The following is a 13,613-nucleotide window of genomic DNA, read 5'->3' as shown; positions in this document are numbered from 1 at the left end:
TAGTGTGATCTCAGCTCACTGCAACCTCCGCCTCCCGGGTTCTAGCGATTCTCCTGCCTCAGCCTCCCAAGTAGCTGGGACTACTGCCATGATGTGCCACCACGCCTGGCTAATTTTTGTATTTTTGGTAAAGATGGGGTTTCACCATGTTGGCCAGGCTAGTCTCAAACTCCTGACCTCAAGTGATCAACCTGCCTCGGCCTCCCAGAGTGCCAAGATTACAGGCATGAGCCACTGTGCCCGGCCTAAAAAACAAATTTTTACTGTTGGAAATGTGCATGGCTTTGGCTACCGAAATGCTTCAGTTCATAAGTATTTACAATTTTAACTCCAAATATCTACTTATGAAAGATGCTTCCCCAATTTATGAATAATCCAAGATAACAAATACATTTTCTTTAAGGGCTAGGTGAATTTATAATAAAAACAACTTAGGAGACTCAATCCTATTTCCATTCTTACTTCTACTCTTTTTTTATGGGAAAAATGTAAACTGGTTCTTCCCCAAACTCCTCTCAGCACGGCAATACTTCTTAGATGACCAGCTCAGAAAGGGAGGGAAGAGAGTGACAGCAGCTGCGTCTGTCTTCCTGCCCTGCACTATCAGTTCCTTGATAGGATTGCTGCAGTCTCATGTTAATTGTCTACATCTCCAGTATGTTCATTTGCTTTCTACCTATTAATACTTATATGCACATCCATGCACATGCAAACGTACATATGCTTTCCACTCGTTGTCACTTGCTTGTCCACATATAAACTTAATCTAAAGTGTGTGTGTCTGAATCAGCAATGTCTCCTTCCAATTTCTCTTTCCACTTTCTATCTCTAATAAATATGGACGTATCAGCCATGCCCTTACCTGAACCCATTATCTATCAATAATAGCCCCTCCCAAACCATGTTAGTACTTCTCTAAGAAGGTTGACCTTTCAGAGGTCTGATTAACTAGACAAACAAGGCATGGAACTCCAGCCCATATTTCCAACACATACGGTAGCCTTTTTTTCTAAATTATGACTTTTGCCTGTGAGAATAGTGAATGTAATGTATGAAGACCAAAAGCATTCTTCAAGACAGTGATTTGGTAGCATCTTATTCTGGAAGCATAAGCCATCTTGAACACAGATAATGAATGCATTAGAATGGAAACATCCAAAGGATTATTAAGTCAGAAGGCATACCCACCGTCACACTCACGTTCTCAGCTGCTTGCTGAGTGCGTACTGGGCACATGTATGCCCAGAACTCATGGCTTTCCCCTTTGAAGTAAATCAGAGAAGATAAAAATTACTTTTCAATGAAGTGGCTACCCAATCAAGAACAAGAAAGGTTTTAAGCCAGATTTAAACTGAGACATATTTATGTACAGCCATAAATCCACAGAAAGTCAGGACATTAGAAAACAGCAGCATACGCCGGGCGCAGTGGCTCACACCTGTAATCACAACACTTTGGGAGGCCGAGGTGGGCGGATAACTTCAGGTCAGGAGTTCAAGACCAGCCTGGCCAACATGGCAAAATCCCATCTCTACTAAAAATACAAAAATTACCTGGGTGTGGTGGCACGCGACTGTAATCCCAGCTACTCAGGAGGCTGAGGCAGGAGAATTGCTTGAACCCAGGAAGGGGAGGTTGCAGTGAGCCAAGATCGCACCATTGCACTTCAGCCTGGGTAACACAGCGAGACTCTGTCTCGAAATAAAATAAAATAAAATAGAAAGAAAAAAGAAAACAGCAGCGTAAAAACATTTGGATGCTACCAAATATCCATTTCAGATTGAGACTTCCATGGAGTGAAAAAATAAATAAAAATAAAAATGTGAGCAGCACTTTCCAAGGGCCTGGCACGATTAACCCCATTTATCCTCACAAGAACCCCGTGAGGTAGGTATTGTTAGCATTCCCATTTTACAGGTGGGTCTGAAAGTAAGTGACTTAGCTAGGATTTAGCTCTGGATAGACTCAGACCTGGACTTCAAACCCAGTGAGTGAACCCTCTGAGTCTGTTATCAACCACTATGCCATCTGCTTACCTGGTACCCATGAGCAACAGAAACAAATCATTACTTTTTAATCTGGTGATGGGGCTTTTTGTAAGGAATTAAAATGTTAAAATATGACATATGGAATTATATTGGTCAGTATGAAAGAAACAGAACCAATAGAAGATATATAAACATATATAGGATAGATGATTGATAGATAATAGATGGATAGATCCTATTGTTTGTATATATATATATATATATATATACACACACACACACAATAGGACATACATATATATATACACACATAATGTATATATATATACACACATAATGTATATATATATACACACACACGATAGGACATATATATATACAGTCATGCACTGCATAACAATGTTCCAGTTAACTGTGCACATACAATAATTAACTGCATATACAATGGTGGGCTCATCAGATTGTAATAAAGCACATATAGAAATCTGATATTTGGCACTTGACATTGGCATTGCAAATCAAGTAGGGGAATTGACTGATATTCAGTAATGGTGCTGAGACATCCGGTTTTCCAAGTAAAAATATAAATATATATGTATATATATACTCACACAACAACAAAATTCCCTAAAAATGCAATTCTGACAATGTATCTCCATCATTAAGTGATGCATGACTCTATTTACATATAGATATAGATACAAAAGCACAGAGAACGAGAGAGAGATTTATTCTAGAAATTGGCCAAGAAGTCCCATGATCCATTGTCTGCAAGTTGGAGAACCAAGAAAGCCAGTGGCATAATTCAGTCCAAGTCCAAATGCCTAAGAACCAGAAGACCCAAATCCAAAGGCAAGAGAAGATGGATGTATAGCCCAAACAGAAGCAAACTCATCCTTCGTCTCTGCCTTTTTGCTCTATCCAGCTCCTCAATGGATTGGATGGTGCCCACTCACATTGGGGAGGGACATCTTCTTTGCTCAGTTCACCAATTCACATGCTAACCTCTTCCAGAAACACCACCACAGACACACCCAGAAATAATGTTCTACCAGATATCTGGGCCTCCCTTAGCCCATTCCAGTTGACACATAAAATTAACCATCTCAGGTCATTTTCCTAAGAACACTTCTGGCCTTTTCTTAAAGGCTTTATATTTTATATTCAGGTCAGTTTATCTCCTCTGTGATATCAGCCCAAGGAGTAGGTATTTAGGACAAGCCTTACCATCTGGCAAAAAAGACAATCATCTTTGCAGTGGGGCTGGAGGATGTCCACTTCCCAGAAAGATCTCTCTCATCCAACAATTACACTGCCTAAAATTTCACCACCAGAAAACTTGTAGGGATGGTCACATGTTCACAGTGTATTGTAAATTTGCCTTCAAATTGATTTCTCCCATCCCAATTATTCCACAGAAAAGGGCACCAGGATAATGAGACGTAAAGCATCATCAAATGAAAGATGATGTTTTAATCACCTCCTCTTCATACTGTTGACAGAAGAAGGATTCCCACCTGAGAGTTATGGGAATGGTCATAACTTTTTTTTTAAGGAACTAAAAAGTGTCTAAAATGCCAAAAATATTTTTGTAAAATGAACTGTGAATGCCCAATGATAGTTTCATGACTATATCTGTATTTCACAAAAGAATCCTTTTTTCCTCACAGAGAGTTAACATAGCCTATGGTCAAACACAGGTACTCTATGATCATTTCTGGAGATGTTTAATGGTGTGTGAAGAAGACAAGCTCAGCCACCGTGCCCAGTCTCCCAAAACTTTCAATAACATCTTCATCTCAAAATTTTAGGACACAGTTCTTCTAATGAGTGACAGCATCACTGAACACCAGAAGCATCAAGGAACATCTGCTCCCCCGCACCCGTGGCTCATCTCAGGATGTTGTCAGGCAGAGTCAGACACACTACAGTGGGAAGATCAGACTGGGAGAGTTGAGCTCCAAAACAGAACTGCACCTTAAAGAGGGGGCATCTCAGAGCACCCTGACTCCTGCCAGCTCAAGGACAGAGCCAAGTCTGGCAGTGAAACCCTTTTTTCAGAGAATTTGGCAAATTTCTTCCAGTCCAAACAAATGGCCCCAATTTTAGGATGTGTAAGATGGAATAACAGGCCAGGTACAGTGGCTCATGCCTGTAATCCCAGTAGTTTGGGAGGCTGAGGAGGGCGGATCACAAGGTCAGGAAGTGGAGACCATCCTGGCCAACATGGTAAAACCCCGTCTCTACTAAAATACAAAAAATTAGCCAGGCATGGTGGTGCATGTCTGCAGTCCCAGCTACTCGGGAGGCTGAGGCTGGAGAATTGCTTGAACCCAGGAGGCGGAGGTTGCACTGAGCAGAGATCATGCCACTGCACTCCAGCCTGGGCGACAGAGCAAGACTCTGCAGGAGGCTGAGGCAGGAGAATGGTGTGAACCCGGGAAGTAGAGGTTGCAGTGAGCTGAGAGGTTGCACTCCAGCCTGGGCTACAGAGCGAGACTCCGTCTCAAAAAGAAAAAAAGAAAAAAAAATGGAATAACAATTACAGAATCATCTATACAGGTAAAGGGGACAGGAGATCCAGGAAGAGGGGAAATTCAGAGATTCCTCCACAGGGGCAGCCTCTGCAGAGAATTTGGGAAACCTGTGTAGGCTGCTGGCTGGGCTTCTGTCACTGGCAACGGGTTGAAGCTTCCTAATCTAGAAGACTGAGAAGATCTCAGTGAGGCCTGCATTTTGGAGGAGCATGGTTTGGGAGAGCTTATGTTCTGGAATATGATTCTGATCCTCCTACCCTAAGTGGGGTGTAAGGGTGGACTGTGCCTCAGGACTAAGGCCACAGTCTCATAATTTTTTTTTTTTTTAGAAAGGGTCTCACTGTATTGCCCAGGCTGGAGTGTAGTGGCAAGATCTCGGCTCACTGCAACCTCCGCCTCCAAGGTTCAAGTGATTCTCCTGCCTCAGCCCCCCGAGTAACTGGTACTACAGGCATACACCACCATGCCCAGTGCATTTTTTGTAGAGATGGGGTTTTGCCATGTTGCCCAGGCCAGTCTCAAACTTTGAGCTCAAGCAAAACACCCACCTCGGCCTCCCAAAGTACTGGGATTACAGGCGTGAGCCACCGCACCCGGCCCACCATGCCATTATTAACTTCAATGTTGAACTAGGGCTTCCTAGGTCCTCAAACTCTCTGAGATCAAGAATGATCCTCTATCCTGGGGGCAAAGATGAATCTTTATGTGAGAACAAAGTGCTCCCAGAGGCAGATACAGCAGGATTCACAGGATGAGAACTGAGCAGGGGCTGTCTGTGCAATGGACAGTGACAGTTCCATCTTCCCATTCTTACATGGAGCCACATCCTTGTGAGGTCCAGTAATCCAAACTTCTATATCTAAATCAGTGGGTTCTGCTCTGAATCTGGGTTATTCTTCAAGGGCAGGGATTATATTAGAATTTATTCTCTTTGAAAATATAACTCTTTTCAAAGTGATGAAGATTCGTGCATACCCCAGCATTCTGTAAGTTCTCCCTTAGGAGCAAATAAAAGTTGTGCAGCCTTAATTTAAGCCTATTTCTATTTCAGTCCTATGTGAATAGAGGGAGACAGAGGGAATTATCAACCATTCTTTGGGAAAAAGAAAACAACTCTAAAAGTACCTAAAGATACAAAAGCTGTCATTTAGCTTTCTTTTTGGAGGCAAGTAATATCCATTCAACATTTCACCACTTAAGCCTAGCATTATTCAAATATACACAGCAAAGTATAAAGCCTGGAAATACTTTTTTTTTTTTGAGACAGGATCTCACTCTGTCGCCCAGGCTGGAGTGCAGTGGCACGATCTCGGCTCACTGCAACCTCTGCCTCCCAGGTTCAAGCGATTCTCCTGCCTCAGCCTCCTGACTAGCTGGAGCTACAGGCGTGCACCACCACTCCCAGCTTACTTTTGTATGTTTTGGTAGAAATTATGTTTCACTGTGTTGGCCAGGCTGGTATTGAACTCCTGGCTCTAGTGATCCACCCGCCTCAGCCTCTCAAAGTGCTGGGATTACAAGCGTGAACCACTGCACCCAGCCCTAGAAATAATTTTTAATTACCAGGCCTGAAGAAATTAGATACATACCTATGACATATATTTTAAGAAGCAGGTAACTTCCAATTACATAGAATAATATTAATAATTTGAAGTCCCCTAAAACCTTGCTACTCAATGTGTGGATCAAGGACCAGCAGCATGAATGTTCCTTGGGAGCTTTTGTAGAAGCAAAGCTTAATCCAAACCTACAGAAGCTGCAATTTAACAAGAGCTGCAGGTGATTTGTATACATATTAAGTTGGAGAAATACTCTGAGCTATACACTAGTCCATTTGCCTCTTCAGTGTACTCAGTAATGATGAAGAACTTTTGAAAATTACATTTATTTCTATTTCAGAAAACTCTCCATCATAGTTCTCATCAGTTCCCTTTAAATACAGTTATTATATGAAGGTAAATATACTAAGCCACTAATCCCTATCTCTACCCTCCAGCCCTCCCATCTCAAAAAGATGAAAAATCTTTTTTTTTGTTTTTTGTTTTTTGTTTTGAGACAGAGTCTTGCTCTGTTGCCCAGGCTGGAGTGCAGTGGTGTAATCTCGCCTCACTACAACCTCCGCCTCCTGGGTTCAAGTGATTCTCTTGCCTCAGCCTCCTGAGTAGCTAGGATTACAGGCACATGCCACCACGAACAGCTCATTTTGTATTTTTAGTAGAGACGGGATTTTGCCTTGTTGGCCAGGCTGGTCTCGAACTCCTGATGTCAGGTGATCCACCTCGGCCTCCCAAAGAACTGGGATTACAGGTGTGAACCACTGCACCCAGCCAAAAATTATTTTTTATTTGGCAAACCTATTATGACAAACACAGCTGGAATGAGGAATGGTGCAGGCAGCAATGGGCAGCCCACATGTTCAAGAAAAGCCCTGGAGGACTGGGGAGAAGCCTGAAGGCAGAGATACACTGGGGAAAAGTTGAAGGCACTGAGCATTTACATCAAATGCACATGTAGTTGGCTGTTCTGCCTCGCAAATCATAAAGATCTCTGATTTCTGACCTTGTCTGCTGATGGGGTGCTCACGTGGGTTACCAGTTTCTGCATTTGAGTTGCTGGTTCCCCAGGGGTATGCTCCTTTCGGGCCCTGCTGGTTTTCAGGCATCTATCGTGTCTAGAAACTATCGCCCCAGAACCCTGATCTTCCTGAGTCCTCAAACACCACACAAGACTCTCTTCTAACTCTTCCCGTAAACCCGAAACCATCTCAAGGAACAACACGGAGTCGTTATCTAAGACAAAAAAGGAGGCCAGGCACAGTGGCTCACACCTGTAATCCCAGCACTTTGGGAGTCTGGTGCAAATGGATCACCTGAGGTCAGGAGCTCAAGTCCAGCCTGGCCAACTGGTGAAATCCTGTCTCTACTAAAATACAAAAATTAGCCAGGCGCGGTGCCACATGCCTGTAGTCCCAGCTACTCGGGAAGCCTAGACAGGAGAATCGCTTGGACCCGGGACAGAGGCTGCAGTGAGCCGAGAGCGCACCACTGCACTCCAGCATGGGCAACAAAGGGAGGTTCTGTCTCAAAAAAAGAAAAAAAAAAAAAAAAAGAAAAATTCAAATTAAAACTATCTTTAGGCTCAACACAACAAAGCTGTGTCTGATTCAACAGCAATACTTTTTGGCCTCCTCTTGCATTTGAGAGTGGCTTATAGCTGGTGTGGTATCTCTCCTAAGTGTGAATTTATACCTGCTTCAGAGAATCAGATGATGGGGGAAATCTACAGGAAGAATTCTGATTCTAATGTCAGAAGGACTTTGTGTGAGTGAACCTGAACTCACTGGTTGGGCAGTGAGGTGGTTGGGCACGTATAAATAACCAACCAACAAAATGGTGGCCTCAAAAAATCAGCCAAGACCAAATCTAGCCCACTGAGAATTACAGACCCCTGCCAGATGCAAATGTTTCCCGGAAGACCAAGTTTATAAGAAAGTACCAATCAAGCTAGGTAGATAGCACAACTGCCCAGAATGTCTCCCTAAAATCAAACTCCCAGTTTAAATGAAGCCACTACCAATGGGAATGTCTTTTAAAAAGTACAACGTTCTTTTTGTATGTGTTGTGTAAATGAAGAATAAAAATTTTTAATTACTAAAAAGAAACAATCCCATTATTATACATAAGCATGCTCAATAATACAATTTATAATACAAAGAAAATAATCTGCATAAGTTTATAAAATATAAGATTATTTTATTTTTAAAACATATTCACACAAGATAACACATTATGTTGCTACCAAATACAAAATTGGCCTTATTAAGAGAGGGAGTCAGAAGTGTTCATAAGAAATAACACAGTTTTAGTGATTCTAGGGTGACTCCCACCAATATGTCTCCCTTCTCAGCAAGTCACCCTATTCTTCCCCAGATAAATACCTTCTCCTCTGCCTGACCATTGCCTGAAATGGGACAGTTGAGTGTCATTTTCTTTTTTTTTCTTTTTTTTTTTTTTTGAGATAGGGTCTTACACTGTCACCAAGGCTGAAGTACAATGGCACGATCACGACTCACTGCAGCCTTGACCTCCTGGGCTCAATTGATTCTCCTGCCTCAGCCTCCTGAGGAGCTGGGACTACAGGTATGTGACACTAAGCCTGGCTAATTTTTTAATTTTTTGTAGAGACGGGGGTCTCATCATGTTACTCAGGTTGATCACAAATTTCCTGAACTCAAGCAATCCTCCCACCTTAGTCTCCCAAAGTGCTGGGATTACAAGCATGAGCCATCAAGCCTGGCCAAAAGTCATTTTTACTTAAAGTTTTCGTCTCCTTGTAAAAGACAAATAGATCTGGAGAGAAAAGACAGTCCTGTTACTTAAGTCATTTACATCGCAACAGATATTTTGAAACGCTGAGCATGAGGCAATATTCAAGGTACTGGGGATAAGAGAATGAGGAGGGTCCCTGCCCACAAGTCACGCACAGCCTAGTGAGGAGACCCTCGTGCTCATGAGTCGATGTTGGTAAGTTGATGGTTGCTAGGAAGGAGCTGGAGTGAGCGACAGAGGAGCACCGGAGTAGTTACATGTCAGCACTCCTGAGTCAGGAATGGGTAGAATGGGTAGAAACTTATAGACACACAGTGAGCCGTAGTGAAGTGGAGAAGGCAGAGGAGACTCATGAAGGAAAGGAATTCCAGGCATGTTCAAAAGCATAGCAGGGAGAATTGTACGATGGGTTGGAAAGTGTCCCGTACAGCTAGAGTCAAGGGAACAAACCAGGAAGTGGGAAGAGATGGGGCTGCACTTTTTCTTTGATCTCTTACTAGGTTTTAGATGCTGTGCTTTAGACCACTTACGTCATTTGATTCTGGTGACAACGCTGTGAGTTGAGCCAGATTATTACTCCCAGTTTACAGATAAGGAAGATAAAGCACAAAGAGGTTATGTAACTTGCCCCAGAGTCTCAGTGCCAAGCTTCAAGCCCGGGGTCTGCTAGCATCTTCTAGTCATGAGAGAGGGAGGGTCAAGAAGCATAAAGCCACGCAAGTCTTCAAAGAGATTTGAGGTGACAGAACAGTGAGTACCTAACCCGAGTGTAAAGTACGCCCGCCCACTCATGCTTGGTTTGAGGGCCAGCCTACTAGGTGGACGGAGACAAAGTGGGGGACAGCTTAGAGAAAATTCAGGGCTTCCTCCTTTGCGCTCATTAAGATAGCACCAACCTCCAAGAAGTTATGACCCAGAGTTGTGCAGGGGTGGAATTCACCTCCCTACCCAGAAGCTTAGAAGGACCTCACCCCAGGTCTTGTGACTCGAGACCTTTAGCCATTAGGCCCAGGGCTCGCCATCCCCCACGGGACTGCGGAAATCGAATCTTCATGTCCCTTATCTCCCATCACTATCAGCCAACACCAGGGTAAACTACCATGAACAAACATTTCATGCTGCAACACCAGCAAATCCATAAGGTTTCATATGGTTCCTTGCCCCAGATTCAGCCAAGTTCTGCCCTTACCTCCTGAATGCTGCCATGCCACCCTCCAAAACCTCTGCCTCATCATGTGCAAACTCCTTTTTACCCTCAACCTTCTTTTTGGAGGATCCTTCCCACCTCCTTGCCTTAACTGAAGCCTCTGATGACATCACTTTGCAACAGCCTTTTCTCTTTTTTTTTTGAGACAGAGTCTCGCTCTGTCACCCAGGCTGGAGTGCAATGGCACAATCTCGGTTCACTGCACCTCCGCCTCCCAGGTTCAAGCGATTCTCCTGCCTCAGCCTCCCAAATAGCTGGGATTACAAGTTCGCGCCACTATGCCCAGCTAATTTTTGTATTTTTAACAGAGACGGGGTTTTGCCGTGTTGGCCAGGCTGGTCTTGAACTCCTGACCTCAGGTGATCCACCTGCCTCAGCCTCCCAAAGTGCTGGGATTACAGGCATGAGCCAATTCTGTGGTTTTTACCACCTAAATAAAAGCCTCAACAGCCTGGTTTTCTCTATCTTTTCTGCCCCCTCTATCATCCAAGCAACTGTCACCCAGCAGTCTGCAAATAACTTTCTCTCCAGTCTCCCTGAGGCCACCCCCATCTGTTCTCTACACTGAACCTAGAATAATCTTTTCTTTTCTCTCATATGCCCTTTCTGTCTGCAGCCCTCCTGTGACTTCTAATCATCCCAAGGATGAAGGGCGGTGTCCTCTGCATGGCTTGCAAGGGTCTGCTGGCTCGAACCTCAGCCAGGTGCCCACACTCATCTTTTCCAACTTTGCTTTTTTGTCTGTGCATTCCCACTACTGTGGCCTCTCTTAGCTCATCAAGTGTTCCTTGTTTCCTCAGCACACAGGCCCTTTGTCCAGCTGTTCCCTCTGCCTGGACACCTTTCCCCCTCCCCAGCTGGCTCCTGGTTGGGGTTATGTCTTTTGTGGAACTAGGTTACTGATATGGTTTGGCTGTGTTCCCACCCAAATCTCATCTTGAATTGTAACACCCACAATTCCCACATGTCATGGGAGGAACCTGGTGGGAGGTAATTGAATCATGAAGACGAGTCTTTCCCATGATTTTGTTCTCGTGATAGTGAATAAGTTTCATGAGATCTGATGGTTTTAAAAACAGCAGTTTCCCTGCACAAGCTCTCTTTTTACTCGCTGCCATCCATGTAAGATGTGACTTGCTCCTTGCCTTCTGCCATGATTTTGAGACCTCCCCAGCCATGTGGAACCGCAAGTCCATTAAAACTTTTTCCTGTTTAAATCACCCAGACTTGGGTATATCTTTATTAGCAGCATGGAAACAGACTAATACAGTTACCTTCCTTCTCAGTACATGATTCTGGTTTAATTGTGTATTGTTGGATGATTGTTTGTTTAATTGTTACATCCTCTGCCACTGACCTACTCATCTCTTCAAATAAGATGTATTGACAATCTACTCCATCCTAGGCACTGGAAGTAACATTGAATGAAAAAGACAAAAATCACTGTCCTCTGAAGTTTATAGTCTATGGAAGGAGACCGAATAACGAATTATTTAAGAAAAAGGTCTCATATCTTGATGACTAGCACTATAAAGGAAATAATCAGGGAATGGGGAGGAGAGCAAGGTGTGTGTGTGAGAAGGGGTGTGCAGTGGCTTGCAATTTAAAATAGGATAATCAGGGATGGCCTCGTGAGAATGTGACATTGGAGCAAAGTCATGAGAGGAGGGAGGGAATCTGGAAAAGTTCCAGGCAGAGGGACTAGCAAGCACGAAGGCCAGAAAGTGGCAAGGTGCCTGATTTCCTCTTAGAGGACCTGTCAGCTGGCCAGCCTGGTTAAGCAGAGAGAAAGGAAGAAGATGGAGTCAGAGATAGCGGAGGGAGGTATGGGAAGGAGAACCCATGGAGATCTTGCAGGGAGGACCAGCTTCATGGGTGTGCCACCTGGACAGTCACAAAGGACCCCACACTCAGAGTCCTGTGCTGGATCGAATGCTTTGCTCTCTTGAAATTCTTAAGAGTTTAAGCAAGGCCCAGCCCTTTTTGCAGTCAGTCCTGCCTGTAGGACCTAGTGAGTTACTGTTCCTTCTGCCAGGTCTAATCTAGTGGAGACCTTGGCTCTCCATCTGAGCAAGACAGGGAGCCCATTGAAGGTTTTGAGCTGAGGAGTGACATGATCCCACTTACACCTTAGCAAGGTACTTCTGGCTGCTCTAATGAGAAGAGTTGAATTTTAGTAGCAAGGGTAGGAGCAGAGAAGTTGGTGAGAAGTCTCTTGCAAATAATCGGAATAAGAGATTCCCGTGGCTCACATTTGTAATCCCAGCAATTTAAGAGGCCGAGGCGGGTGAATCACCTGAGGTCAGGAATTCAAGACCAGCCTGGCCAACATGGTGAAACCCCATCTCCATTAAAAATTTTAAAAGGCCTGGCGCAGTGGCTCATGCCTGTAATCCTAGCACTTTGGGAGGCTGAGACAGGAGGATCACGAGGTCAGCAGTTCGAGACCAGCCTGGCCAATAGGGTGAAACCTCATCTCTACTAAAAAGACAAAAATTAGCCGGGCATGGTGATGCGCCTGTAATCTCAGCTACTCAGGAGGCTGAGGCAGGAGAATCACTTGAAACTGGGAGGTAGAGGTTGCAGTGATCCGAGACTGCGCCACTGCACTCCAGCCTGGGCAACAGAGTGAGACTCTAAAAAAAAAAAAAAAAAATTAGCTGGGCGTGGTGGCACACACCTGTAATTCCAAGTACTCAAGAAGCTGAGGCAGGAGAATTGCTTGAACCCAGGAGGCGGAGGTTGCAGTTAGCCAAGATGGCGCCACTGCACTGCAGCCTGGGTGACAGAGTGAGACTCTTTCTCAGGAAAATAAACAATAAGAGATTCATTTGGCCTGGGCCAGGGTGGCAAGACTGGTTGGATCCCAGTTATGGGGGACATGTAGAGTCAACATTTCCTGACACGTGGACTATCAAGTATAAGAAAAGCTGAACCGAGGGTGGAGTTGATGACTTGGGGTGAGTATCTGGAGGATGAATTTACCCTCAGATGAACCCTGAAAGGATGAAGGAGCAAGGTCTGGGGGAAATCAGAAGTTCATGTCAGGATATATTACCTCTGAGATGCCTGTGGGTCGTCCAAGGGCAGCGGCCAAGAGGCAAGTGATGTTTTGGAGTCCAGAGTTGAAGTGAAAGTTGTGGGCTCTGGGGACTTTTAATAGACAAATTATAGTTGTATATATTTACTGAGTACAAAACAATGTTATGATTTTTTAATATAATATGAAATTATTAATTAGTGACTTAACTTATCCATCACTTCCAATATTTGACCTATTTTTTTGTGATGAGAGCATCTGAGATTTACTCTTTTAACGAATGGAAATGTGCAGTACTCAGTTGTTAGGGATAGTCACCATGCTATGCAATAGATCTAAACAAAAATCAAACTCATTCCTTCTGCCTAAGTGAGGCTTTGTATCCATTGATTATCATCTCCCTGTTCCCCCCACCGGCTAGTCTCTGATCACCATTGTTCTACTCTCTGCTTCTGAGATCAGTTGTTTTAGTTTAAGTGAGAGCACGTGGTGTTTGTCTTTCTGCGTTTTGCT

The sequence above is a fragment of the Homo sapiens genome, chromosome 5 (assembly GCF_000001405.40).
Source record: "Homo sapiens chromosome 5, GRCh38.p14 Primary Assembly".
Lineage (NCBI taxonomy): Eukaryota > Metazoa > Chordata > Mammalia > Primates > Hominidae > Homo > Homo sapiens.
Note: the sequence above shows the minus strand (reverse complement) of the source record.